This window comes from Homo sapiens, chromosome 1, assembly GCF_000001405.40.
Source record: "Homo sapiens chromosome 1, GRCh38.p14 Primary Assembly".
NCBI lineage: Eukaryota > Metazoa > Chordata > Mammalia > Primates > Hominidae > Homo > Homo sapiens.
Window position 1 is genome coordinate 27,475,279 of NC_000001.11, and position 26,204 is coordinate 27,501,482.

The following is a 26,204-nucleotide window of genomic DNA, read 5'->3' on the forward strand; positions in this document are numbered from 1 at the left end:
AGTCCTAAAAAGCTTTGAAATATCTGGCTCCTACCCATCTCTCCAATCACATATTTTGTTACCACCGTTCACTAATACATAGCCATGGTAGGCTTCCATCACTCTCAGGATACACTAAGGATTTTCCTGATTCAGGGCTTCTGCCATCAACAGTTCCTTCTCCCTGGAACTCTCTTCCCTCGTTTCTCTATTTCAATGGTTCATTTTCATTCTTCACTTTCAGTATATCACCTTCTCAGAGAAGCCTTTCCTGACCATCCTTATCTAAGTTCCTCTATTACTCTCTATTATAGCACCCTATTTTATTTTCTAACATACATCACAATCTTTAACTTTTTATGTCTTTTTGTTTTGTTCTGTTTTGTTTGAGAGAGTGTCTGCCTCTGTTGCCCAGGCTGGAGTGCAGTGGCATAATCTTGGCTCATTGCAACCTCTGCCTCCTGGGTTCAAGTGATCCTCCCACTTCAGCCTCCTGAGCAGCTGGTACTACAGGTGCACACCATCACACCCAGCTAATTTTTGTATTTTTTGTAGGGATGGGGTTTCACCATGTTACCCAGGCTGGTCTCAAACTCCTGGGCTCAAGTGATCTGCCTACGTTAGCCTCCCAAAATACTTGGCCTCACGCCTCCCCATGTGGGCGTGAGCCACTACACCCAGCCTTATTTATGTCTTTACTGTCTATCCAAGGCTTCCCAAACTGCATGAGAGCATGCACCTTGTTTCTTCTCAAGATCACTGAGTTGTATCCTTAGTAGTACGTGACACACAGTAGGCACTTAACACATCTGTTGAATGTTAAACTAATAACCCAATACTAGGCATTATCCTATTGTTGAATGTTTAATATAGCAAAGGCTTACAGAAAACCTACTGTTTACGAGGCCTTAGGTAACACATATACACATCTGATGAGAAGGTAAATGGTGTCTTAGGCCATTCTTGCATTGCTATAAAGAAATATCTGAGACTGGGTAATTTATAGGCAAAGAGGTTTCACTGCTCACAGTTCTGCAGGCTGTACAGGAAACAGTGCCAGCATGTGCTCCTGGGGAGGCTTCAGGAAGCTTTTACTCATGGCAGAAGGAAAAGCGCAAGCAGGCACTTCACATGTGAACTCAGAGCGAGAGCTCACTTATCACCAAGGGGATGGCCCAAGCCATTCATGAGGGACCTGCCCCCATGACCCAAACACCTCCTACCAGGCCCCATCTCCAACACTGGGTATTACATTTCAACATGAGATTTAGAGAGGATACATATTCAAACTACATCACATGGTATAATGAGAATTAAGTGGACAAAATTTAAAAAAAAAAAAACCTCTTCCAGAGGCTTCTGAAAAGAGCAAATAAGTAGACTATTTTTCCCCCAGAGAATTCATTTAAAAACAGAAATAAGAGAGTTGTGACACAGTCCCTTCTCTAAAGATGTATAAACAAAGGGTCCCCAAGGGATCAAGGCTGAAATGTACCACAATTAACATTTTTAGAAATTATCTAGAAAAAACAATAGTGAAATCTTCCCAGTTTGCAGATGACTCTACAGCAACACATAGAAGTACAATGGTGCAAGGCTCTGTGTGTTCAGCAATGTGAAAAACAGCTTCCATGTAGACAAAAATAAGGTAATTCAGTGACAGAAAAATAGTTCAAACTATAATTATCAAACGATGAGCTCTAAAACTACCTGTTTTAACATAGGAAAGGGGTTTCAAAGTCCCTAGACTGTACCCTGAATACAGCTACAAAAAGGCAACAAAATACTGGCTGTCATTATGAAAGCTTTGGAAACACAGAACATATTATCCTATCCTTGTACAAACCAAAGTGTACCTGTACCTAGAATAGAATGTGTAGTTGTAGTCATCATAGCACAAAAAAGGTAAAATAGAGAAGGCCTAGAAAGATATCACAGAAGACCAAAGGGACCAGAGGGGCTTCTATATGAGTACAGATTTTTTTTAAATGTCTTTTTAAGGCCAGGCGCGGTGGCTCACGCCTGTAATCCCAGCACTTTGGGAGGCTGATGCTGGCAGATCACGTGAGGCCAGGAGTCCAACACCAGCCTGGCCAACATGGCGAAATCCCATCTCTACTAAAAATACAAAAATTAGCTGGGCGTGTTGACACATGCCTACAATCCCAGCTACTCGATAGGCTGAGGCAGAAGAATCACTTGAACCAGGCAGGTGGAAGTTGCAGTGAGCAGAGATCATGCCACTGCACTCCAGCCTGGGTGACAGAGCAAGACTTCGTCTCAAAAAATAAAAAATAATCTGTTGCAATGAGCAAGTATTACTTTTGTAACTTCAAAGAGATTTTAAAAATAAATAAATCGGCCGGGCGCGGTGGCTCACGCCTGTAATCCCAGCACTTTGGGAGGCCGAGGCGGGCGGATCACGAGGTCAGGAGATCGAGACCATCCCGGCTAAAACGGTGAAACCCCGTCTCTACTAAAAATACAAAAAATTAGCCGGGCGTAGTGGCGGGCGCCTGTAGTCCCAGCTACTTGGGAGGCTGAGGCAGGAGAATGGCGTGAACCCGGGAGGCGGAGCTTGCAGTGAGCCGAGATCCCGCCACTGCACTCCAGCCTGGGCTACAGAGCGAGACTCCGTCTCAAAAAAAAAAAATAAATAAATAAAAAAAAAAATAAAAATAAATAAATCTAGGATATTAGAAATGGGAGGCAGGCCGGGTGTAGTGGCTCATGCCTGTAATCCTAGCACTTTGGGAGGCTGAAGCAGGTGGATCACTTGAAACCAGGAGTTCAAGACCAACCTGACCAACATGGTGAAACCCCCGTCTCTACTAAAAAGAGACTTGGGAGGCTGAGGCAGAAGAACTGCTTGAACCCGGGAGGCAGAGGTTGCAGCGAGCCGAGATCCTGCCACTGCACTCTAACCTGGGGGACAGAGGGAAGACTCTACCTCCAAAAAAAATAAAAAAGGAAAGAAAGAAAAGAAGTAGAAAATAAATTTCATGCAAATAGCAAAGCAAAAAAAAAAAAAAAAAGGATATGATGTAAGAATAAGCAAATTAGTAGCTGTGGTTTGTTGGAAAGAACTCTAGATATGCATCAAAGGACTTGGGTTCGTATACACATTAACATGGACAAATGTGAAAAACTTTATGTTGAACAGAAAAAGTCAGACACAAAAGTGTGCATACTATATGATTCAAGAATAGGTAAATTTAATATGTGGGGATAGAAATCAGAACATTGGTTGCCTATAAAATGGTGGAGATTGACTGGAAGGGGAACTGGAAGGAGGGAACTTTGGAGGGTTATAAAAATATTCTATTTCTTTTTCCTTTTTTTGAGATGGAGTTTCACTCTTGTTGCCCAGGCTGGAGTGCAATGGCGTGATCTCGGCTCACTGCAAACTCCGCCTCCCAGGTTCAAGCGAGTCTCCTGCCTCAGCCTCCAGAGTAGCTGGGATTACAGGCATCCGTCACCACACCCAGATAATTTTTTGTATTTTTAGTAGAGACAGGGCTTCTCCATGTTGGTCAGGCTGGTCTCCAATTCCCGACCTCAGGTGATCCACCCGCCTCGACCTCACAAAGTGCTGGGATTACAGGCGTGAGCCACTGCGCCCAGCCAAAATGTTCTATTTCTTGATGTGGGTGTTGGCTACATAGGTGTTTACATTTGTCAAAACTCGTCTAATTATATACTTCCATCTCACTGTATATAAGTTTTACCTTTAAAAATCTTGGTTAGGGCCGGGTGTGGTGGCTCACGCCTGTAATCCCAGAGCTTTGGGAGGCCGAGGTGGGTGAATCACAAGGTCAGGAGTTCAAGACCACCCTAGTCAACATGGTGAAACCCCGTCTCTACTAAAAATACAAAAAATTAGCCAGGCGTGGTGGCAGGCACCTGTAATCCCAGCTACTCGGGAGGCTGAGGCAGGAGAATTGCTTGAACCCGGGAGGCGGAGGTTGCAGTGAGCCAAGACTGCGCCACTGCACTCCAGTGTGGGCGACAGAGTGAGACTCCATCTCAAAAAAAAAAAAAATCTTGGCTAGGCTTGGTGGCTTACACCTGTAATCTTGGCAGCACCTTCGAGGCTAAGGTGGGAGGATCACTTGAAGCCAGGGGCTGGAGACCAGCCTTAGCAACATACCCACACCTCATCTCTATTTTATTATTTAAAAATTCCAAATAATTTTAAAATAAATATAAATCTCATCTTAAAAAAGACATTTCAATTTCAAATGTTCCATTATTTAGTTGAATAATTTTGAGGAAGTTAATCTCTCAGAACCAGTTTACTTTATCTATAAAATGCAGCTACTAATGGCCTGGCACGGTGGCTCACGCCTGTAATCCCAGCACTTTGGGAGGCCAAGGCGGGTGGATCACCTGAGGTCAGGAGTTCAAGACCAGCCTGGCCAATATGGTGAAACCCCGTCTCTACTAAAAATACAAAAATTAGCTGGGTGTGGTGGCACATGCCTATAATCCTAGTTACTCAGGAGGCTGGGGCAGGAGAATCACTGGAACCAGGGAGGCAGAAGCTGCAGTGAGCCAAGATGGCGCCACTACATTCCAGCCTGGGTGACAGAGCAAGACTCCGTCTCAAAAAAACAAACAAACAAAAAAGTAGCTACTAACATATCTCAAGTGCTGGGGACTGTCTGTAATAGTATACAACAAAGTGGAGCACTATGCTTTGCAAATTATCATCCAATGAATGCTGAAGGAACTTTAAAAGTAAAGATAGGGAAGAAGTTAGTCTTATAATTCTCATAATTCCACAGATGCCGTTGGTATTCAGGAATACTATTCTTTAAAGACTATCAATATTCTACAAAGGGAAATTCACTTATAGTTCCCAATTGTGAATGAAAAGGAGTATCAATAGGCATGACCCAAAACCTTCTTCTACACAGTTAAACAAAATTTCTCAAGACCTGATTTAAGAGCAAACTTTTTAAACTGAGTACTTATGGCCGGGTGTGGAGGCTCATGTCTGTAATCCCAGCACTTTGGGAGGCCGAATTGGGCAGATCACTTGAGGTCAGGAGTTCGAGAACAGCCTGGCCAACATGGTGAAGCCCCATCTCTACTAAAAATACAAAAATTAGCCGAGTATGGTGGCAAGCACCTGTAATCCCAGCTACTCGAGAGGCTAAGGCACAAGAATCGCTTGGACCCGGGAGGCAGAGGTTGCAGTGAGATTAGATAGCACCACTGCACTCCAGCCTGGAAACAGAATGAGACTCCATCTAAAAAAAAAAGAAAATAAAAATAAAATAAAATATAATAAAATAGAAATAAACTGAGTACTTGCTAGAACAAAGGCATAAGCCAGGTATGGAGGAAGGAGAGGAGGTTTCAAATCAAAATACTTGAGAGTAAATGAACTGCTCTTGTTACTTTACTATGTCAATTACAAAGCTTAAAATTCACACAAGCCACACGACATATTTAAGAATGCATGTGTTGGGCCAGGTGCGGTGGCTCACGCCTGTAATCCCAGCACTTTGGGAGGCCGAGGCGGGTGGAGGTCAGGAGATCGAGACCATCCTGGCTAACACGGTGAAACCCCGTCTCTACTAAAAATACAAAAAAATTAGCCGGGCGTGGTGGCAGGCGCCTGTAGTCCCAGCTACTCCCAGCTCCTCCCTGTAGTCCCAATTACTCGGGAGGCTGAGGCAGGAGAATGGCGTGAACCTGGGAGGCAGAGCTTGCAGTGAGCCGAGATCACGCCACTGCACTCTAGCCTGGGTGACAGAGTGAGAGTCTGTCTCAAAAAACAAAAACAAAAAAACAAAAAAAGAATGCATGTGTGGAGGTCAGGAGATCAAGACCATCCTAGCTTACATGGTGAAACCCCGTCTCTACTAAAAATACAAAAAAAAAAAAAATTAGCCAGGCGTGGTGGCACGCGCCTGTAGTCCCAGCTACTCAGGAGGCTGAGGCAGGAGAATCACTTGAACCTGGGAGGTGGAGGTTGCAGTGAGCCGAGATCACGCCACTGCACTCCAGCCTGGGCGACAGAGGGAGACTCCGTATGAAAAAAATAACGCATGTGTGTATACACATACACATGTTCACTCAAATTGGAAATGAGTCAAACCACTGCTTTTTCTCAAAAAGCCTTCTGTATTCTCAAAATAAGAAACTTGGGGCCAGGCGTGGTGGCTCACGCCTGTAATCCCAGCACTTTGGGAAGCAGAGGTGGGCAGATCACTTGAGGCCAGGAGTTTGAGACCAGCCTGGCCAACATGACAAAACCCCGTCTCTACTAAAAATACAAAAATTAGCCAGGCATGGGGGTGGGCGCCTGTAATCGCAGCTACTTAGCTCAGGAGGCCGAGGCAGGAGAATGGCTTGAGCCTGGGGTGAGCAGGGAGGGCGTGCACAGAGGCTGCAGTGAGCCAACATCATCGGGCCATTGCACTCCAGCCTGGGCGACAGAGCAAGACTCCATCTCAAAAAAAAGAAAAAAGAAAAAAAAAGAAACTATTTTGTTCAAATGGAATTAATCTTACAGCTGAGAGTACATCTCAGACTTCTCTGTATTTTACCAGAAAGAAAAACAGAGCTTGAAAAGAAATATCACAGGCAAAGTTTAATAGCCTCTCCTATCAATCTCAAATTATTTATTAGTCTGGAAATCATCATGAAAAGCAAATTTTTCTGAGATACTTCTATATCTGAACATTATTTCTTCAGCAAGCATTCAACAATTCTTGTTTCTATTCTTCTCTTTTCTAATTCAATTCTGTTTGGTTTCTAAGTTAAGAAGTGTGTTTCATTTGCATAAATGGTAACTATTCTGAGATACTATTCATAACTATACATTTGAATTCTGTAAAGTACCATTCATAACTTCAAACAGAACAGGAAAAAACACTCATTCAACTTTACCTTAATGGTGACTAAGACATGAATGATTATAATGTTATATTGTACAGAGTTGGCCAAAAGAGAATGAAGTCTTCAAATGTTACCACTACCTTGTCATTAATTTATGAATGCCCAGAGGAATTAAGGACCACTGCCTTGACCAATCCGCCTGTCACAAAAAATACTGAGCTTAGAAAAGCATGCCCATTCTAAACATGTTTTTTGGAGTTATGAAGTGTTTATGCGGGGACATCAAGAGATACATCTTAGCCATGAAGCTCAAAAATTAGCAAGAATCCTGACAAGTTCTGGCAAGTTCTTTATATAAGCAATGCTGGTTATCCTTTAAGTGTTAAACTTTTCAGCTATGAGCTTTTCTTAGAAACAGTCTTTCATGCAAGGTAGGTAGTAATAGTCCAGTAGTTCTTTACTCTATGTAATCTTAATCAGTGGTAGAAATTAAATTTACATAGATCTGCATAAATAATTCAGCTATCTGTCCTGCTCTAATATATTTAAACCAAATAAAATAAAACTTGAACAGAATAAAAATAATGGGGCTATTTTTAAATGGTCACCTCCTGATTTTTCTCATTTTCTTATCCAAAGTCAGGGACAGGAACTGCATAACCAGAAAGAAGGAGAAAAAGGAGAACATGCACCTGAGGACATCTATAATCACTTTCCTCTATTGCTCCACCACTCCTACCCCTATTGATACAGTAGCTCACAACAGGGAGAAATCTATCCCCCCAGGATAAAAGTAACAATATCTGGAGACATTTCTGGTTATCACAACTGGGGCAGAGGGGGTGCTATTGGCAACCAGGGATGCTGCTTAAGTATTCCTGGTCGGACCATGAAATGGAAGAGGAGCACACAAGAATGAAGCAGAATACAAAGGCCATAATTAAAGCAGTATTAGTATCTCACGCCTGTAATCCCAGTACTTTGGAAGGCCGAGGTGGGCAAATCACTTGAGGTCAAGAGTTCGAGATCAGCCTGGCCAACATGGTGAAACCCCATCTCTACTAAAAATACAAAATTAGGCCGGGCGTGGTGGCTCACATCCATAATCCCAGCAATTTGGGAGGCTGAGGCGGGTAGATCACCTGAGGTCAGGAGTTTTAGACCAGCCTGACCAACACGGTGAAACCCCATCTCTACTAAAAATGCAAAAATTAGCCAGGCATGGTGGCACATGCCTGTAATCCCAGTTACTCAGGAGGCTGAGGCAGGAGACTCGCCCTGAACCTGGGAGGCAGAAGTTGCAGTGAGCCGAGACCATGCCATTGTTCTAGCCTGGGCAGCAAGAGCAAAACTCTGTCTCGGAAAACAAAAACAAAATTAGCCAGGCATGGTGGCACGCACCTGTAATCCCAGCTGCTACTAGGTAAGGCTGAGGCAGTAGAATCCCTTGAACCCAGGAGGCAGAGGTTACAGTGAGCCGAGATCACGCCACTGCACTCCAGCATGGGCGGCAGAGTGAGACTCCATCTCAAACAACAACAACAAAAAGGGGGTGAGGGGTCTGGGCATGGTGGTTTATGCTTATCCCTGTAATCTCAGCACTTTAGGGGGCCAAGGCAGCAGGATGGCTTGAGCTCAGTTTAAGACCAGCCTGGGCAACATAGTTAGACCTCGTCTCTAAAAAATTTAACAAATTGGGTGGGCATGGTAGCGCTCACATGTAGTCCCAGCTATTTGGGAGGCTAAGGCAAGAGGAGGACTGCTTGAGCCTAGGAGGTTGAGGCTGCAGTGAGTGAGCTGTGATACTGCCATTGCACTCAAGCCAGGGCAACAGAGTGAGACCCTGTCTCAAATAATAACAATAATTTTTCCCATTCCCTAGTCCAATCACACACTGACTCCACCTGCAACTCTTGATACAGTTTCTTATCCTTTGTATCTCCAAAACAGTGAAGGTACCATTCTTAGGAACTATGGAGCCACCCCAAGTAGGTGGCTGAATTCAGGCCCTCAAACCAGGCAGCTACTTGGTTTCTTAAAGGACAAAATTCCACAAATCCATGCTGTCATGGGGCTTTCTTCTAAAGAGAAAAAATAATTCTTCATCCTCCAACAATACCAGTCCACCTCACTCTACAGTAGAGATGTCCGAGAAAACTAAGAGTAGCCTGAGTTTTGAAAATGTGCTAGTAGAGGCCCTTGGCCATTTAAAGAAACCACCCAAATTCATATGGCTGGTAAACAGAAGTTTCTCATATAGCATACACTTAAAATAAAAATACTCAAAATTAAATGTATTTTAGTAAACTCCTTACACCAAGATGTGCAAATTGTGGAAGCTTCATAAATTAAAAATAAACAAAATTTTGACCCAAATCCCATTGACAGTTTTTACCTCATTCTAAAGAATACTCTAGGCCGGGCGCGGTGGTTCATGCTTGTAATCCCAGAACTTTGGGAGGCCGAGGTGGGTGGATCATGAGGTCAGGAAATCAAGACCATCCTGGCTAACAAGGTGAAACCCTGTCTCTACTAAAAATACAAAACAAAAAATTAGCCAGGCATGGTGGCGGGCACCTGTAGTCCCAGCTACTCGGGAGGCTGAGGCAGGAGAATGGCGTGAACTCGGGAGGCGGAGGTTGCAGTTAGCCGAGATCACGCCACTGCACTCCAGCCTGGATGACAGAGCGAGACTCTGTCTCAAAAAAAAAAAGAATACTCTAAAGGAAAAAAATCAGCTTTAAAATTTGGCAAACATGGCCGGGTGTGGTGGCTAATGCCTGTAATCCCAGCACTTTGGGAGGCCAAGGCAGGTGGATCACCTGAGGTCAAGAGTTCAAGACCACCCTGGCCAACTTGGAGAAACCCCGTCTCTACTAAAAATACAAAACTTAGCCGGGCGTGGTGGCAGACACCTGTAATCCCAGCTACTCAGGAGGCTGAGGCAGGAGAATTGTTTGAACCCAGGAGGCAGAGGTAGCAGTGAGCCAAGATTGCGCCATTGTACTCCAGGCTGGGCAATAAGAGCGAAACTTGGTCTCAAAAAAAAAAAATTGGCAAACATGAATCTACAGATCTGCATTTGATTTGTTTTTCTCTGAATTATATGCAAAAAGTACAATTCTCTTAAATGCTATACAAAAAATGATGAGCAAAGACCCTACAAATTACTATTTAAAGAAGAGGTGGGGGCAGGGCATGAAGTCTCACACCTGTAATCTCAACACTTTGGGGAGGCCAAGGCGGGAAGATCACTTGAAGGCAGAAGTTTGAGACCAGCCTGGCAACATTTCGAGAGCCCATCTCTACTGTTTAAAAAAAGAAAAAAAGAAAATAAAAGAAATAAAATTTTTAAAATTAAAAACAAAAGAGGTGGAGGGTGTCATTCTAAAATTTCAGAGACTAGTGAAGATATTAAAGCATAAATTGTGGTACTTAAGGAAAAATGCTTATCAGGCACATTTTAATCACAGTAAGATTTCTGTATGACAGAAACAACAAAAGGTGTCTGTCTTCTATGTAATATTGTTTTTAGGACACATGACTTTGAAATTAACTGGACTATACAATATTTTTCCTTGTAATTGCTCTTGTTATCATGTAATTTTGTTTGTTTGTTTGAGACAGAGTCTTGCTCTGTCTCCCAGGCTGGAGTGCAGTGGCGTGATCTCAGCTCACTGCAACCTCCGCCTCCCGGATTCAAGCGATTCTCCTGCTTCAGCCTCCTGAGTAGCTGGGATTACAGGCGTGCACCACCACACCCGGCTAATTTTTGTATTTTTAGTAGAGACGGGGTTTCACCATGTTGGTCAGGCTGGTCTCGAACTCCTGACCTTGTGATCTGCCCGCCTCGGCCTCCCAGAGTGCTGGGATTACAGGCTTGAGCCACCGCACCTGGCCTATCACGTAAGTTTTACCTATAGAGATCTACAGTCCCTTCACTTTATCTGCAAAATGCAAAGGCTGTGAAAAATAAATTTTTCATTATTCATTTGGAGGCAAAACCTGACAAGAAATGACATAAGGCTAATGACAGTACAGTATTTATCCCAGTTAGTATGAACATCCAGACATTTTACTACAGAAATAATAAAATACATCTGATTTAAAAAGTGCTGCCCTGACCTCTCTGGGGTATTACATAACACATAGTACCATATTTCTTTTCTAAAACCCCAAAATCCAAAAATTTTTAAATTCAGATATACATTTGGTCCCAAGAACTTTTTTTTTGGTGCCAAGGATTTTGAATAAGGTACTGTGGACCGGTATACTAATTAAGACTAATTATTTTACAGAAAATATAACATATTGGGAATGAATGTATTAATAGAGCTTCACGTGCAATAAATTCAGTGTCTTCACAACTATCACATACACACAATCCTGGAAAATAACGCATAAAAAGACTTAACATGTCAAAAGCCAAACACATTATTATGTGTTTTTCAAGTGACGGTGATATTTGCATCCTCTAATATCTAGATCAATTCCTTAGGTTGAAATCACAGTTAAAATATAGCTAAAGACTCAGCTGGGCGTGGTGGCTCACGCCTGTAATCCCAGCACTTCCGGAGGCCGCAGCAGGTGGATCAACCGAGGTCAGGAGTTTGAGACCAGCCTGGCCAACATGGCAAAACCCTATCTCTACTAAAAATACAAAAATTAGCCAGGCGTGGCGGTGCATGCCTGTAGTCCCAGATACTTGGGAGGCTGAGGCAGGAGAATCGCCCGAACCTGGGAGGCGGAGGTTGCAGTAAGCCGAGATCACGCCACTGCCCTCCAGCCTGGGTGACTGATATATATATAATATATAGATTATATTTTACATATATAACTCATACATTATAGATGATATATATTATATATAATCTATATATTTACATATAATCTACATTTATATATTATATATAAATTTTATATATAATCTGTTACATATATTATATATAACATATATATAAAATATAGATTATATATATAATATAATCTATATAGAGAGATTTTTTTTTGAGACGGAGTCTCGCTCTGTCGCCCATGCTGGAGTGCAGTGGTGCGATCTCGGTTCACTGCAAACTCCGCCTCCCGGGTTCACACCATTCTCCTGCCTCAGCTTCCCGAGTAGCCGGGACTACAGGCACCCGCCACCACGCCCGGCTACTTTTTGTATTTTTAATAGAGACGTAGTTTCACCGTGTTAGCCAGGATGGTCTCGATCTCCCGACCTCGTGATCCACCCGCCTCGGCCTCCCAGAGTGCTGGGATTACAGGCGTGAGTCACCATGCCCGGCCTATAATATATATTTTATATAAATATATATATTTAATATATATACAAATATAAATATATATTTATATAAATATATTTTATATAAATATATATTATATAATATTATAATATATGTTATATTATATATATTTTATACAATATATAATATATATTATATATATTTTATACAATATATAATATATATTATATATATTTTATATAATATATAATATATATTATATATATTTTATACAATATATAATATATATTATATATTATATAATATATATTATATATATTTTATATAATATATAATATATATTTTATACAATATATAATGTATATCATTATATTATATAATGTATATCATATTATATAATGTATATTATATATTATATATTTATTTTATATTCTTATTATGTTATACATATATTTTATATATAAGACCAAATTAGTAATATGCTGAGAAAAAGAATAATCCATTGTAAATAATTTACTCAATAAAATGCTCTGATTTTTAAACAACTATTCTCAGAGGGTTTAAGATTTAAAATTATTTCATTCTAGAAGAAAACTGAACAAATTACAATTGACTTTTTCTATGAAAGTAGAGCCTGGGACATGGATAGAGACAGGAACAGCTCTTAAAGATATCTGAACAGGAAAAAGTTTCACAGTTCTTTCCTTCCTTCCTCCTGTAGTTGCTGCTTTTCTGGTTTTAGAATTTCAAACAAAGAAATACATACTGGCTCCACTGCTAAGAAACGCCCTCTTTCTCAGTAACTTCCTCTTCCAATTTTCTTCTCCACTACTGACATATGAGAACAATACCCATAGCCGTCCCTACTATTCTGATTAACCAAAAGCTCTGAGGTTTGGAAAAATTAAGGGCAGCAAGTTATTGCACCCAACTACCGCCTACCCCAAATCCACAATCTTCACTCATTAGAAGTCAAAAAACAGGTTGCACAAAGAAAGGGATATTAAGCTTAATCAGAGGTGGGCTATTGAACCTTTCACCCAAGAAATCCAAAGAAATTTGAACAAATGGGAAATTTCTCCCATCCCAAGAAAATGTGGCCCTCTGATGGAGGAGAAGAAGCGAATGGGCTGGCACCACTCTGAACCAAAGTCTAGTCTATATACACCAATAGCTGCTGAACTTTTTCTACAGGCAACCCTACCAGGATTCAAATGGAGCTCTCTGAGGTCCTGACACACACTTCAAAGGGACTTTTACGACTTACAAATAGTTCTTTCCAACTTACAGACTGAATAAAGGGGCTGGACTTATAATTAACCTTCCAGAGATCAAGACTGTCCCCATGCCAGAAGTCAAATCACATATCTGAGGCCAGACCTCTGCCCCCATTTGTAACAAGGCAAACTTCCCTAACACTATCTTTTGAGTGGGCAGTGACTTCCCCCTTGCCCAGTGATTCTCAGAGGAAACAATTTAGTTAAGTAACCTCTGCCCTTTACTGTGCGACCTTGGGCAAATTACTTAACTCCTCTGAAACTCAGTTTCCTTATGTGTAAATTCTCAAGAGTCACTGTAAAAAAATAAGAACATATGCCTAAGCAAGGGTTGACACCTAGTAGGGCTGCCATAAAAGTTCTTCCTCTTCCTTCTAACCCTCCTGAATTCTGGACCTAAATTCCAATCAGAGCCCCAAGGGGCTCCAAGGAGTCCTTCCTCTTCTCCGGTTCTATGGACAACCATATTAAAACTTTCCCTCTCAGAGGCTCTAGGATTCCTGGAGAACCAAGAGGACCCCAGCTCACCCCATCATGGTCTGGGTAGCACCCACGTCCTCCTTGGAACAGCCCCTTTAGACAACTCTCCTCCTTACTCTGCAGACTATCCTGTACGCGCGCACACACACACACACACACACACACACACACACACACAGTGTCCTCCTCAATTTAGCAGGCCGGGGCCTCAACGAGCACCTCAATTACTTCATGGTACACACACACACACACACACACACACACACACACACACACACAGTGTCCTCCTCAATTTAGCAGGCCGGGGCCTCAACGAGCACCTCAATTACTTCATGGTACGTACACACACACACACACACACACACACACAGTGTCCTCCTCAATTTAGCAGGCCGGGGCCTCAACGAGCACCTCAATTACTTCATGGTCCAGAGATGGAAACTGAGGCTCAGCCTGGGGAAGAACTTGTCCAAGATCTCAGACAACAGCTGGGACCCAACTCCTGTACATACATCTGCCGACGAAACCCTCGTTTTACACAGGGGGTAAACTAAGGCCTAGAGAGGAAAGTGACTTGCTCAAGATCACACAGCGAGCTGATGGCAGAACCAGGTCAGGCCGGGACACTCATAGTCCCTCAGACTTGTGGACCCCTCCAAGTTTCCGAAGGGGACTTCGGGTCACTCCCTCCCTCCCTGAGGGGGTGGGGTGGACTAAGACGCCACCCCGCGCTGACCGCTCGCCCGGCCTCTGCCAGTCCGCAGTAGGAGTCCCGGCACCCAGTCCCCCGAGACCCTGCACGGCTCGGGAAGAGCGGCCCGGCCGGGGCCCGCGCCTCCCAGCGGGGTCTACCCAAGGGGACTTGTTGCTCACCTGGCCTCCCGCAGTCGCCGTCAGCGACAGGAAGGGTCGGCCGGCCGCCCAGTCTCCGCACAGAGTGTGCTCCCGCGGACCGCCTCGCGGGCTGCCAAACGGCCGGACCCCCTCAGCGCGCTACGCCCCCAGCCGCGCTCGCCCTGCCTGTGTCCGCCATTACGCGATTCCCCGCCCTGGGCGGCAGCCACACCCCGCCAATGGCCCTGATTGGCTCACTGCCCCACCCACCCGGGGCTTCGGGGCATTCCATTGGCCTGAGTAAAACGCCAGTTAAATAACTACGCAAAAGACGTACTCACGGGTACCCTCCCCAGAGCTCCACCCGGGCGACTTCCGCAATCGGAGTAAACAGCGGGGTGCAAACCAAGTGAAGTGGGGGGCGGAGATTAAGGTAAACCGACTCCTAAGTTCAAAGTAGGGAAAGCTCACCTAAGAAAGTGTAAAAACTCGTACAAAGTGTGTTGAAAGAAGAATTCTTCTTGTTAGCCTTGAAAGAACCGCTAGATTTAGTGAAAGGAAGGGGCCAAGCCCGTAAACTTTCTGTGGACACCCCTCAAGTTGCGCATAGTGTTGTCCCTTCACTCCGGTCTCAGCCAGGGCAGAAAGTAGGGTGGGGAGAGTGAGTCACAAGCTCTATCCCGTCCTGCACAGTCCATCCGGGGCAAGGCCCGGGTCCTGGGAATGGGGGATAGTACTGAAAAGCCATGGTCAAGTGAGCGGAACCCTGGTTCAGCCACTTCACTCTGCGACCTCAGACAACTTCCAGAATTTATCTGGGTCTCAGTTTGTCCTTCTGCAAAATAGGAGCAGTCGTCTGTGCCTCACATGCGGGAGTGGTTGTTGAGGACTCATGCATGAGTGGGGAATATGCTCGTCTTGTTGATTATAAAAGGCTGCAGCTGTCCGGGCGCGGTGGCTCATGCCTGTAATCCCAGCACTTTGGGAGGTTGAGGCGGGCGGATCACCTGAGGTCAGGAGTTCGAGACCAGCCTGACCAACTTGGAGAAACCCCCATCTCTACTAAAAATACAAAATTAGCCAGCCGTGGTGGCGCATGCCTGTAATCCCAGCTACTCAGGAGGCTGAGGCGGACAATCGCTTGAACCCGGGAGGCGGAGGTTGCAGTGAGCCGAGGTCACGCCATTGCACTCCAGCTTGGGCAACAAGAACGAAACCCCACCTCAAAAAAAAAAAAAAAACAAAAAAAACGCCCAGGCGCGGTGGCTCACGCCTGTAATCCCAACACTTTGGGAGGCCAAGGCGAGGCGGGCGGATTACTTGAGGTCAGGAGTTGAAGACCAGTCTGGCCAAGTGAAACCCCGCTTCTAGGCGGATCACCTGAGGTCAGGTGTTTGAAACCAGCCTGGCCAACATGGTGAAACCCCATCTCTACTAAAAATACAAAAAATTAGCCGGGCATGGTGGCACATGCCTGTAATCCCAGCTACTCCAGAGGCTGAAGCAAGAGAATCGCTTCAACCTCGGAGGCAGAGGTTGCGGTGAGCCGAGATCGCGCCATTGCACTCTAGCCTGGGCAACAAGGGCAAAACTCTGTCTCCAAAAAAGAAAAAAGAAACCCCGCCTCTATTAAAAACACAAAAATTAGCTGGGCGTGGTGGTGCGCGCCTGTAATCCCAGCTACTTGGGAGGCAGGAGAATCGCTTGAACCTGGTTGGTGGATGTTGCAGTGAGCCAAGATCATGCCACTGCACTCCAGCCTGGGAGACAGAGCGAGTCTCAAAAAGAAAAAAAAAAATGCCACAGCTAGATAGAAATGTGACAAATTAACATGTTAGCAAAGATACCTCACTTAATTCTCTAGGGCAACCCTGTATGGCAGGTATTACCCTCATTTTTGCAGAAGAGAAAACTGAGTCTTTCTGAAGTTGCATGACTTACCCAGGGTCCTTCAGGGACTTTGAAACAGCCCCGGAACTCAAACCTGTTTCTTTTGGTTTCCATTCCTGTATTTCTCCCTTTCAGGCCTGGTATCATATGAGAATGACTTCCCTCCCCTCCCCTCCACTCTTCCCTCACCCATCCCCTTAGCATTCCAGGAAAGGTCTTAAGGGTGCCAGGTCAGTCCCTCATCTCTCTGATCAATGTAGACTTGGGCACAGACCACCCCCCAGCTATTGTTAACCACCAGGGTTCCTGAGGAAAAGTGACACTAGGGGTGTGCCCAGGCTGTTTCTGGGGTCCTAGGAGTCAGGACGTGAAAAGGGGGTGACAGATGGGTTGAGAACCTACACAGAATCTCAAACGAGGACGCAGAGGCTCAGAGGGGGGCCGTGATGCCACTGTGAGCCCTCAGCAGGGCCGCCTCCATGCCAGGACTTAAATCCAGGTTTCTCTGCTCTCAGAACAGGGCTCTTTTCACCACAGGATTGTTTTTCCCAGAAGAGCTGCTTGGCTGTAATTCCTAGTCCTTTTCCCTCCCTGGAAAGGAAGGAGGCCAAGAAGGGAGTGGGAGGGGAAGCAGCCTAAGACTTCAGAAGGGCAGAGACAGCCAAGGGGGTGGTGCCAGCAGGGCCCTGGTGCCATCCGAATTGGTGTCCTCCGGGCTCAAACTGGGACATGTGGTCTGACAACCAAGGACTATTTAAATCCTGGCTGTGGCTGTTGGGTGCTGGGAGGCAGCTGTGCAGAAAGCAGTGGCTTTGGGGTTAAGCAGACCTGAGATCGAGTCCTAGCACCACCACTTTCTAGCTCTCTGAGCCTCACCTACCTCTTCTCTGAAATGATGACAAAAGGGCAGTTGTGAGGATTCAATTAGTTAATTGTAGCGTTAATGAGTCATGTGTATAAAGTGCCTGGTAGCTATTTATTCATTCATGGATTCATCCATTCAATAAAAAATTATTAAGCACCCACCACATAGAGGGCAGCCTGACAGTGGCGTAGCTACAATAGCAAGCAAAACAGACTCAGACCCTCATGGAACTTAAAGTCTGGGAAGGAAGAAAGTTGTTAACCAAGTGATCAGACAAATCAAAAACAGAAACTGAGATAAGGAAGCAGAAGGTAAAGTGCAATGTGTTTATGAGAGTGAATGTCAGGGGATGGGGTGGGGTCAAAGGAGACTTTCCTGAAGAGATGATGTCTGAGGTGAGTTGATGAATGGGGGTTCATTTACTCTTTTTTTTTTTTTTTTTTTGGAGACAGTCTCGCTCTGTCACCCAGGCTGCAACCCACGCTGGAGTGCAGTGACAATCTCGGCTCACTGCAACCTCCGCTTCCCAGGTTCAAGCGATTCTTGTGCCTCAGCCTCCTGAGTAGCTGGGATTACAGGTGTGTGCCACCACACCCAGCTAATTTTTGTATGTTGAGTAGAGATGGGGTTTCGCCATGTTGCCCAGGCTGGTCTCAAACTCCTGATCTCAAGTGATCCACCTGCCTTGGCCTCCCAAAGTGCTGGGATTACAGGCATGAGCCACCACACCTGGCCTGGGGTTCATCCATTCTTGAATGAGCAAGAGGTTGGGAGAAGTGTTGCAGGCCAAGGGAAAGGGTGTGGAAAGGCATGGAAGCCCATGGGGGTGGTGGCAGTGGGGAGGAAGGGTGGAGCACTCAGGGCCTGTGGGCCACCAGGAAAAGTATCATGGTTGTTGATGAATGACTGAGGATGTTACAGGGGAGGAAACCCAGCTTTGAAAGTGGGGGCTGGCCTGTAATCCCAGCACTTTGGGAGGCCAAGGTGGGAGGATCACTTGAGGCCAGGAGTTTGAGACCAGCCTGGGCAACAAAGTAAGATCCCCATCTCATTTATTTAAAAACGTAATAAATAAATAAATAGATAAGAAAGTAGTGCTGTTCACCAAGGGTCTCTGTACTTTTCTCGTAGTCCCTGAAAGAATGCAAGCTTTGAGGCAGACCGACCTGGGTTTGAATCTTAGCTCTGCCAACTCACCGAGGATTGTGTGACCTGAACAGTCATCAAACCTCACTGTGTCTCAGCTACTCTTCTAAGGAATGGGGATAACAATAGAGGGTCATAAGGTGGGGGTGAGGATTTAATGGGAAATATATGTAAATTGTCTGGCATATAAAAGTCGCTCGGTAAACAATGCTTGGTCTTCCCAGCATGGAGGGAAGTGAGCCTGAGGCAGCAGTTGGAGCAGATGGTTTGGGTTCAAGCTGATACAGACATCCATGAACTGGACAAGTTGTCATCTGAACTTAATTTTTTTTTTTTTTTTTTGGACAGGATTTTAATCTGTCACCCAGGCTGGCTTGCAGTGGTGCAATCATGGCTCATTGCAGCCTTGAACTCCTGGGCTCAAGCAGTCCTTCCACCTCAGCCCCCCAAATAGCTGGGACTACAGGTGCATGCCACTATGCCCGGCTGATTTTTTTTGTTTTGTTTTTTAGAGATGAAGTCTCCCTATGTTGCCCAGCTTGGTCTCAAACTCCTGGGCTCAAACGATCCTCCCACCTCAGTCTCCCAAAGTACTAGGATTACAGGCATGAGCCACTGTGCCCGGCCTGAATTGTCATACGAGACTTTGGAGCCAGACAAACCTGGATTTGAATCACTATTATACCACTTCCTAGCTGTGTGACTTTGGGCAGGTGACTTCACCTCTCTGAGCCTCAATTTCCTTATCGATAAAATGAAAATCATAATTGTTTTTATTTAATAATTTTAGAAAATAGAGATGGGGTCGGCCAGGCGCAGTGGCTCACACCTGTAATCCCAGCACTTTGGGAGGCCGAGGCGGGCAGATCACGAGGTCAGGAGATCGAGATCATCCTGGCTAACACGGTGAAACCCCGTCTCTACTAAAAATACAAAAAATTAGCCGCGCATGGTGGCCGGCACCTGTAGTCCCAGCTACTCAGGAGGCTGAGGCAGGAGAATGGCGTAGACCCAGGAGGCAGAGGTTGCAGTGAGCCGAGATCGCAGCACTACACTCCAGCCTGGGCAACAGAGTGAGACTTTGTCTCAAAAAAAAAATAGAAATGGGGTCTTGCTGTGTTGCCCAGGCTGGTCTAGGACTCCTGGACTCAGCACCTCAGCCTCCCAAAGTGCTGGAATTACAGGCGTGAGCCACCAGGCCTGGCCATAATTGTTTTTATTTTCCAGATATGTTCAAATTAAATGTGATCATAAATATGAAACACTTAGCACAGTGATTGCTTGAAGGTTGTCCCAAAATAGGAGCCTTAATTTTTCCTTTTAGGCAATGCAGATAAAGAAGTTGCTTTCAGAGTGGGAGGTGGTATTGTGCATTTAGTGGTAATATTAATAAGGACCAACATTTAGTGAGCATTTGCTACATGCCAGGAATGTGCAAATTGCTTTACATGCATTAACTCGTCAATCCTTATATCAGTCCTATAAATTATTTATTTATTTATTGAGACACAGTTTTGCTCTGTCGTCCAGGCTGCAGTGCAGTGGCATGATCTTGGCTCACTGCAACTTCTGCCTCCCCAGTTCAAGCAATTCTCCTGCCTCAGCCTCCCAAGTAGCTGGGATTACAAGCTTGCACCACCACGCCTGGCTAATTTTTGTATTTTTTGTAGAGACGAGGTTTCACCATGTTGGCCAGGTTGGTCGTGAACTCCAGACCTCCAGTGATCTGTCCGCCTCGGCCTCCCAAAGTACTGGAATTGCAGGCGTGAGCCACTGCGCCCAGCCTCAGTCCTATAAATTAGGTCCTGTTATTATCATCCTCATTTTACAAATGAGGGGAAAGGGCCAGGCATGGTAGCTCACACCTGTATTCCCAACAATTTGGGATGCCAAGGCAGGGGGATCGCTTGAGCCTGGGGTTCAAGACCAGCTTGGGTGACATGACAAAACCCCATCTCTATCAAAAATACAAGAATTAGCCAGTTTCCTAACCTAGGCTCAAAATAAATAAATAAATAGATAAAAATGTAAAAAACAGGGCTAGGCACAGTGGCTCATGCCTGTAATCCCAGCACTTTGGGAGGCCGAGGCGGGCGGATTGCCTGAGGTCAGGAGTTCGAGACCAGCCTGACAAACATGGTGAAACCTTGTCTCTACTAAAAATGCAAAAATTAGCTGGGCGTGGTGGCAGGCACCTGTAATCTCAGCTGCAGGCGGATCACGAGGTCAAGAGATCAAGACCATCCTGGCCAATATGGTGAAACCCCGTCTCTACTAAAAATACAAAAAAATTAGCCAGACGTGGTGGCACGCGCCTGTAGTCCCAGCTACTCGGGAGGCTGAGGCAGGAGAATCGCTTGAACCTGGGAGGCGAAGGTTGCAGTGAGCGGAGATCATGCCACTGCACTCCAGCCTGGGCGACGGAGCGAGACTCCGGCTCAAAAAACATTTTTTCTTAAATAAAAATAAAAATACAAAAACTAGCTGGGCATGGTGGTGGGCGCCTGTAATCCCAGCTACTCAGGAGGCTGAGGCAAGAGAATTGCTTGAACCCGGGAGGCAGAGGTTGCAGTGAGCCGAGATCGCGCCACTGCACTCCAGCCAAACAGAGTGAAACTCCGTTCCCCGCCCCGCCCCCACAAAAAAAAACAAAAAAACAAAAAAACAACCTAGCTGAGCCTCAGTTTTCTAACCTATAAAATGGAGTGAATAAAACTAGTCTCATGGAGCTGAAGAGAAAATACAAATGCAATGAGAGAATGTGTTAAAAAGCTATGAGCCAGCACTGGGTACGGAACTGACAGAGTGCAGTCAGCTAAGGAATTCCAGGGGGAGCAACAAAGCATAGGGACCAGGAAGAATCACCCCTCCCCTCTCCCTGACCCCCATCTGAGGGGAGAAGGGTGGAGAGCACTGTACTCAGAGCCCAGAATGATCTCCAGGTCACCCCCCTCCCTCTGGCATCCTCAGCTCTTGCTAGGTCCACAGTCTCTCTCTCTCTCTCTCTTTCTCTCGTCAAGCAAGTTCTTCACTGAGCAATCCCAGGGGGCCACGAACCTCGGTTCCAGCCAAGCTCGCAGGCTTTCCCCACCTCCACATCCTTAATCTGCAGCCTTTGCATTTGCCATTCCTTCCACCTGGAATGCTCTCTCCTCCCTGAGCGCCTTTGATGGGGAAGAGAGGGTTGCTGAGGGGAAGGATCTGGAATGATGCTCCCCCACCTCCTCACTCCCCTCCCCTGCATCCCCCACGCTGCATGCCTGACCTCCCCGCTCCCAGTGTGGGGGACAGAGGCAGTGCTGGGTGGGGGAGGAAATAGGGTGGGGGCGGGGGTACTCAGGGAAGGGTCCTCTGTGGGGTTTTTCACCTGCTTAGAAGAAGCAGACGGAAATGAAAGCTCTGGAAAAAATGCCTGCTGCTCTGCTTCCAAGGCCCCAGCTCGGTGAAGCCTCCCTGCCTTCCCACTATGCCATCTCCTCCTCTTCCTCCTCCTCCTCCTCCTCCTCCTCCTCCTCCTCCTTCAGGCAGGTTCCACAGTCAGGGAAATGGGGTGGGTGGGAGGGGCAGAGAGACCTAGGTTCAAATCCCATTCCTGCCACTTACCCAGCAAGTGACCTTAGCAAGCTGCCTGGCCTGTTTACGCCTCATTTCTTTGTAAAAGGGGACAATAATCCCTGTCTCTCAGGCTGCTGTGAGGACCAAGTGAGATGGCAGATAAAACTGCCTGGCAGGACCAAAGTGTTCAGCAATAACAGTGATAGGAAATACACAGTGCCCATGTGTACCTGGCATAGTTCTCAGCACCTTGCATATATTTACCTATTTAACTCCTGATACGGTAGATATTATTACTAACCCCAGTTTGCAGATGAGGAAACTGAGGCACAAGGAGATTTCTATAACTTGCACATGCTCACACAGCCAGTAAGGGGTAGAGCTTAATCTGTGCTCTTACTCATCACACTATGGCACATTTAGTGATAGTTCCCATGATGATGATGCTGCTGCTGATGATTATGATTTTTCTTTTTTTTTTTTTTTGAGATGGAGTCTCGCTCTGTCACCCAGGCTGGAGTGCAGTGGCATGATCTCAGCTCACTGCAATCTCCGCCTCCTGGGTTTAAGTGATTCTCACGTCTCAGCCTCCTGAGTAGCTAAGATTGCAGACACCCACCACCATGCCCAGCTAATTTTTGTATTTTTTGAAGATGGGGTTTCACCATGTTGGCCAAGCTCGTCTCGAACTCCCGACCTCGTGATCTGCCCACCTCGGCCTCCCAAAGTGCTGGGATTACAGGCGTGAGCCACCGTGCCCAGCCTGTTTTTATTGGTACTATGCCCTCAGTAAGTACCTGTTATTCTCTTTCCTCCTACCTTCAAAATCCTGCTTGAATTTTTTTTTTTTTTTTTTTTTTTTTGAGACAGAGTTTCACTCTTGTTGCCCAGGCTGGAGTGCAATGGCGCCATCTCAGCTCACCACAACCTCCGCCTCCAGGGTTCAAGCAATTCTCCTGCCTCAGGCTCCCGAGTAGCTGGGATTACAGGCATGTGCCACCACGCCTGGCTAATTTTAAATTTTTAGTAGAGACAGTGTTTCTCCATGTTGGTCAGGCTGGTCTTAAACTCCCGACCTCAGGTGATCCTCCCACCTCAGCCTCCCAAAGTGCTGGGATTACAGGTGTGAGCCACCGCACCCGGCCTGAATTATTTATTTATTTTTGTTTTTTATTTTTTTGAGACAAGGTCTCACTCTGTCGCCAGACTGGAGTGCAGTGGTGCTATCTCAGCTCACTGCAGCCTCTACCTCCTGGACTCAAGTGATTTTCCCACCTCAGCCTCCAAGTAGCTGGGACTACAGGTGCGTGCCACCATGCTCGGCAAATTTTTATTTATTTATTTATTTTTTGTAGAGACGGGGTTTTGCCATGTTGCCCAGGCTGGTCTTCTTCTTCTTCTTTTTTTAAATAGAGATGGGGGTGGGGCTGGGGGTCTTGCTATGTTGGCCAGGTTGGTCTTTAACTTTTGGCCTCAAGCAATCCTCCTGCCTTGGCCTCCCAAAGTGCTAGGATTACAAGCATGAGCCACCCGGCCCAGCCTCCCAGGCTTGTATTGAACTCCTGAGCACAAGCAATCTGCCCACCTTGGCCTCCCAAAGTGCTGGGATTACAGGTATGAGCCACGGCACCCAGCCCAAAATCCTGCCTCAGTTTTACCCCCTTCATGACATCTTCCAGTCTATTCATTTAATAAGGATACATTGCTGCCTGCCCTGGCCAGGCTTGTGCAGGGCACTGGGGACGGAGGGATCAGTCCACTCAGACTCTGCCCTTGAGTGGCTCCCAATCTGATGAGGGAGAAGATATACATAAAAATTACAATAAAAGCGGAAGACACTGATTGCAGTAGGAGCTATGAGCTTATAGAAGTAGAGAACTTAACTGGGAGATTGGGACAGGCTTACAGAGGAAGGGCCATTTGGAAGGGGTTTTGAAGGGTGAGTAGGAGTTCCTCAGGCAGAATTAGGAAGTAGGAACAGAATATGATCTACCCTGCAAAGTGGACTGAATAAAAAAAGCCTGAGGAATAAAAACCCTAGAAGAAAACCTAGGCAACACCATTCAGGACATAGGCATGGGCAAAAACACCAAAAGCAATTGCAACAAAAGCCAAAATTGACAAGTGGGATCTAATTAAACTAAAGAGCTTCTGCACAGCAGAAGAAACTATTATCGGCCGGGCACAGCGGCTCACGCCTGTAATCTCAGCACTTTGGGAGGCTGAGACGGGCAGATCACGAGGTCAGGAGATTGAGACCATCCTGGCTAACACAGTGAAACCCCATCTCTACTAAAAATACAAAAAAATTAGCTGGGCGTGGTGGCGGGTGCCTGTAGTCCCAACTACTCGGGAGGCTGAGGCAGGAGAATGGCGTGAACCCGGGAGGCGGAGCTTGCAGTGAGCCGAGATCACACCACTGCACACACCAGGCTGGGAGACAGAGGGAGACTCCGTCTTAAAAAAAAAAAAAAAAAAAAAAAAAAGAGAGAGAGAAAAAAGAAACTATCATCAGAATGAACAGGCAACCTACAGAATGGGAGAAAATTTTTTCAGTCTACTGATCTGACAAAGGTCTAATATCCGGAATCTACAAGGAACTTAAACATATTTATAAGAAAAAAACAACCCCATCAAAAAGTGAGTTAAGGATATGAACACTTCTCAAAAGAAGATATTTACATGGCCAACAAACGCAGGAAAAAAAGCTCAACATCACTGGCCATCAGAGAAATGCAAATCAAAACCACAAAGAGATACCATCTCACGCCAGTCAGAATGGCAGTTATTTTTATTTATTTATTTATTTTTGAGACGGAGTCTTGCTGTGTCACCAGGTTGGAGTGCAGTGGCGTGATCTCAGCTCACTGCAACCTCCGTCTCCCAGGTTCAAGAGATTCTTCTGCCTCAGGCTCCCCAGTAACTGGGACTACAGGCGGGTGCCACCACACCCAGCTAACTTTTTTTTTTTTTTTTTTTGACAGAGTCTCGCTCTGTCACTCAGGCTGGAGTGCAGTGGTGCGATCTCGGCTCATTGCAAGCTCCGCCTCCCAGGTTCACGCCATTCTTCTGCCTCAGCCTCCCGAGTAGCTGGGACTACAAGCGCCTGCCACCACACCTGGCTAATTTTTTTTTTTTTTTTTGTATTTTTAGTAGAGACTGGGTTTCACTGTGTTAGCCAGGATGGTCTCGATCTCCTGACCTCATGATCCACCCATCTTGGCCTCCCACAGTGTTGGGATTACAAGCATGAGCCACTGCGCCTGGCCAGAATGGCAGTTATTAAAAAGTCAGGAAACAATAGATGCTGGTGAGGCTGTGGTGAAATAGGAACGCTTTTACATTGTTGGTGAGAATGTTAATTAGTTCAACCATTGTGGAAGATATTGTGGCAATTCCTCAAGGGTCTAGAACCAGCAATACCATTTGACCCAGCAATCCCATTACTGGGTATATACCCAAAGGAATATAAATCATTCTACTGGCCGGGCGCGGTGGCTCACGCCTGTAATCCCAGCACTGTGGCAGGCCGAGGTAGGCGGATCACGAGGTCAGGAGATCGAGACCATCCTGGCTAACGCAGTGAAACCCTGTCTCTACTAAAAATACAAAAAATTGGCTGGGCATGGTAGCGGGCGCCTGTAGTCCCAGCTATTCCGGAGGCTGAGGCAGGAGAATGGCGTGAACCCAGGAGGTGGAGCTTGCAGTGAGCCGAGATCGTGCCACTACACTTCAGCCTGGGTGACAGAGCAAGACTCCGTCTCAAAAAATAAAATAAAATAAAATAAATCATCCTACTATAAAGACACATGCACATGTATGTTTATTGCAGCACTATTTACAATAGCAAAGACATGGAACCAACTCAAATGCCCATCAATGATAGACTGGATAAAGAAAATGTGGTACATATACACCATGGAATACTATGCAGCCATAAAAAGGAATGAGATCATGTCCTTTGCAGGGACATGGATGAAGCTGGAAGCCATCATCCTCAGCAAATTAACACAAGAACAGAAAACCAAACACCGCATGTTCTCACTCATAAGTGGGAGTTGAACATTGAGAACACATGGA

General features: G+C 45.7%; 1 protein-coding gene across 2 annotated transcripts in view, besides 10 other annotated features; it reads right to left on the bottom strand.

Annotated features, from left to right (window-relative positions):
- The window catches only part of WASF2 (WASP family member 2), an 85,938-nt gene extending 71,049 nt beyond the window's left edge, over positions 1-14,889 (bottom strand). For both annotated transcript variants that reach the window (NM_001201404.3, NM_006990.5), the window contains exon 1: positions 14,708-14,889. The gene's annotated coding sequence lies outside the window, so the exon portion shown is untranslated. The remainder of the gene's footprint in view (positions 1-14,707) is intronic.
- Positions 6,870-6,919: a silencer, noted in NCBI's record as "silent region_516". NCBI's record gives its function as "represses an Ori minimal core promoter by ATAC-STARR-seq in GM12878 lymphoblastoid cells {active_cell/tissue: GM12878}" and the evidence as "EXISTENCE:reporter gene assay evidence [ECO:0000049][PMID:35858748]".
- Positions 7,910-7,959: an enhancer, noted in NCBI's record as "active region_551". NCBI's record gives its function as "activates an Ori minimal core promoter by ATAC-STARR-seq in GM12878 lymphoblastoid cells {active_cell/tissue: GM12878}" and the evidence as "EXISTENCE:reporter gene assay evidence [ECO:0000049][PMID:35858748]".
- Positions 13,793-13,992: an enhancer, noted in NCBI's record as "active region_552". NCBI's record gives its function as "activates an Ori minimal core promoter by ATAC-STARR-seq in GM12878 lymphoblastoid cells {active_cell/tissue: GM12878}" and the evidence as "EXISTENCE:reporter gene assay evidence [ECO:0000049][PMID:35858748]".
- Positions 14,533-14,592: a silencer, noted in NCBI's record as "silent region_517". NCBI's record gives its function as "represses an Ori minimal core promoter by ATAC-STARR-seq in GM12878 lymphoblastoid cells {active_cell/tissue: GM12878}" and the evidence as "EXISTENCE:reporter gene assay evidence [ECO:0000049][PMID:35858748]".
- Positions 14,853-15,032: a silencer, noted in NCBI's record as "silent region_518". NCBI's record gives its function as "represses an Ori minimal core promoter by ATAC-STARR-seq in GM12878 lymphoblastoid cells {active_cell/tissue: GM12878}" and the evidence as "EXISTENCE:reporter gene assay evidence [ECO:0000049][PMID:35858748]".
- Positions 15,123-15,262: an enhancer, noted in NCBI's record as "active region_553". NCBI's record gives its function as "activates an Ori minimal core promoter by ATAC-STARR-seq in GM12878 lymphoblastoid cells {active_cell/tissue: GM12878}" and the evidence as "EXISTENCE:reporter gene assay evidence [ECO:0000049][PMID:35858748]".
- Positions 15,123-15,675: a biological region, named in NCBI's record as "H3K27ac-H3K4me1 hESC enhancer GRCh37_chr1:27816920-27817464".
- Positions 15,131-15,675: an enhancer, noted in NCBI's record as "H3K27ac-H3K4me1 hESC enhancer chr1:27816920-27817464 (GRCh37/hg19 assembly coordinates)". NCBI's record gives its function as "activates a minimal SCP1, AML or CMV promoter by ChIP-STARR-seq in primed H9 embryonic stem cells {active_cell/tissue: H9 hESC(primed)}" and the evidence as "EXISTENCE:reporter gene assay evidence [ECO:0000049][PMID:30033119]".
- Positions 15,676-16,220: an enhancer, noted in NCBI's record as "H3K27ac-H3K4me1 hESC enhancer chr1:27817465-27818009 (GRCh37/hg19 assembly coordinates)". NCBI's record gives its function as "activates a minimal SCP1, AML or CMV promoter by ChIP-STARR-seq in primed H9 embryonic stem cells {active_cell/tissue: H9 hESC(primed)}" and the evidence as "EXISTENCE:reporter gene assay evidence [ECO:0000049][PMID:30033119]".
- Positions 17,424-17,473: an enhancer, noted in NCBI's record as "active region_554". NCBI's record gives its function as "activates an Ori minimal core promoter by ATAC-STARR-seq in GM12878 lymphoblastoid cells {active_cell/tissue: GM12878}" and the evidence as "EXISTENCE:reporter gene assay evidence [ECO:0000049][PMID:35858748]".